This window comes from Homo sapiens, chromosome 12 (genome assembly GCF_000001405.40).
Source record: "Homo sapiens chromosome 12, GRCh38.p14 Primary Assembly".
Lineage (NCBI taxonomy): Eukaryota > Metazoa > Chordata > Mammalia > Primates > Hominidae > Homo > Homo sapiens.
The window spans coordinates 44,465,813-44,467,360 of NC_000012.12; the positions used below are offsets into that span (position 1 = coordinate 44,465,813).

At 39.1% G+C, this 1,548-nt stretch overlaps 1 annotated feature.

The window, feature by feature from the left end:
- Positions 1,064–1,259: a silencer, noted in NCBI's record as "fragment chr12:44860659-44860854 (GRCh37/hg19 assembly coordinates)". NCBI's record gives its function as "represses an EF-1alpha promoter that drives an FKBP-Casp9 reporter gene in an ReSE screen in K562 erythroleukemia cells {active_cell/tissue: K562}" and the evidence as "EXISTENCE:reporter gene assay evidence [ECO:0000049][PMID:32094911]".

Here is a 1,548-nt window from a genome sequence, read left to right on the forward strand (position 1 = left end):
GGGCATAAAAAGATTTATTACTCACATATTAAGGCTTGAGGAAAAACAAGGCAAGCCTCCCAAGTTGGTCCAAAGAGGGCCAAATCTGCCCTTGAGAGAGAGCAGGGAAAGCAGACTGACTTGGAGTTTTGATGGTAGTTAGAAATTGGGGATGGATTGAGAGTTCCCACGCATGCTTTGAACTTCCTGCTACTGCCAAAGGAGGGAGTATCTAGGACTTTCTCATCAGCTTCTCTGATGTAGAGCAGAAGGCAAACAGGGAGGGGTGAGGCTTCAAAATATGAACAAATGAAGCCAGACTTTTATACAATGGTGGAGATAACAAGAGGTATCAGATTCTGGAACTACTTTTTTTAAGAAAGAGGTATAATATTTATAATTGGAATGGGATTTGGGGGGTAAGAGAGGTAGAAGGTAAGGATAATTCCCCCTTTCACTATAGCTTAGCAAATAAAAAATGTAAAATAATAAAAATGTAAAAAATTAATCAAAAAGCTACTTTATTTGTTCTTGGATTTCCCCCACTTTTAGATTGAAGATTTTATTGAAATATAAGAACCAAATCCTTTACTTCTCTTTAGTCCTCTCTAACTTCTCCAACAATTTTCCCTGGGAATAAAGACAGTGCTTTGCAAATAGGAATGTACAAAAGGGGTTTGTTGATTGAAAAGACGTGTAACAATTTAGTCACGTGTCACTTAACAGGGATACTTTTCTAAGAAATCAGTCATTAGGCAATTTCATTGTTGTACAAACATCAGAGTGTACTTACAGAAGCCTATGTGGTATAGCCTACTCTACACCTAGGCTAGATGGCATAGCCTATTGCTGCTATGCTACAAATTTGTACAGCAAGTGATATGGTTTGGATTTGCATTCCTACCCAAATCTCATGTCAAATTGTAATCTCCATTGCTGGAGGTGAGGCTTCAGGGGAGGTGACTGGATTATGGAGGACGTTTCTCATGGTTTAACACCATCCTCCTTGGTGCTGTTGTTGCAATAGTGAGTTCTTGTGAGATCTGATTGTTTAAAAGTGTGTAGGTCCTCACCCTTTCTCTCTTGCTCCTACTCCAGCCATGTAAGATATGCCTGCTTCCCCTTTATCTTCTACCATGATTGTATGGTTTCTGAGGCCTCCTCAGAAGTCAAGCAGATGCCAGCACAATGCTTCCTGTACAGCCTGCAGAACCATGAGCCAATTACACCTCTTTTATTTATAAATTACCCAGTCTCAGGTATTTCTTTATAGCAATGTGAGAACTGACTATTACAGAAAATTGGTAGCAAGGAGTGGGTCATTGTTATAAAGGTACCTACAAATGTTTAAGTGACTTTGAAATTGGGTAATGGACAGAGATTGGAAGAGTTTAGAAGTTTCAGAAAAAGACAGACAGATGATAAAAATTTGGAACTTACTAGAGACTTGTTCAATGGTTGTGACCAAAATGGTGATAGTGATATGGACAATGAAGACCAGGCTGATGAGGTCTCAGATGGAAATGAGGAAACTATTGGGAACTGGAGTAATGATCACTTTTGCTATAC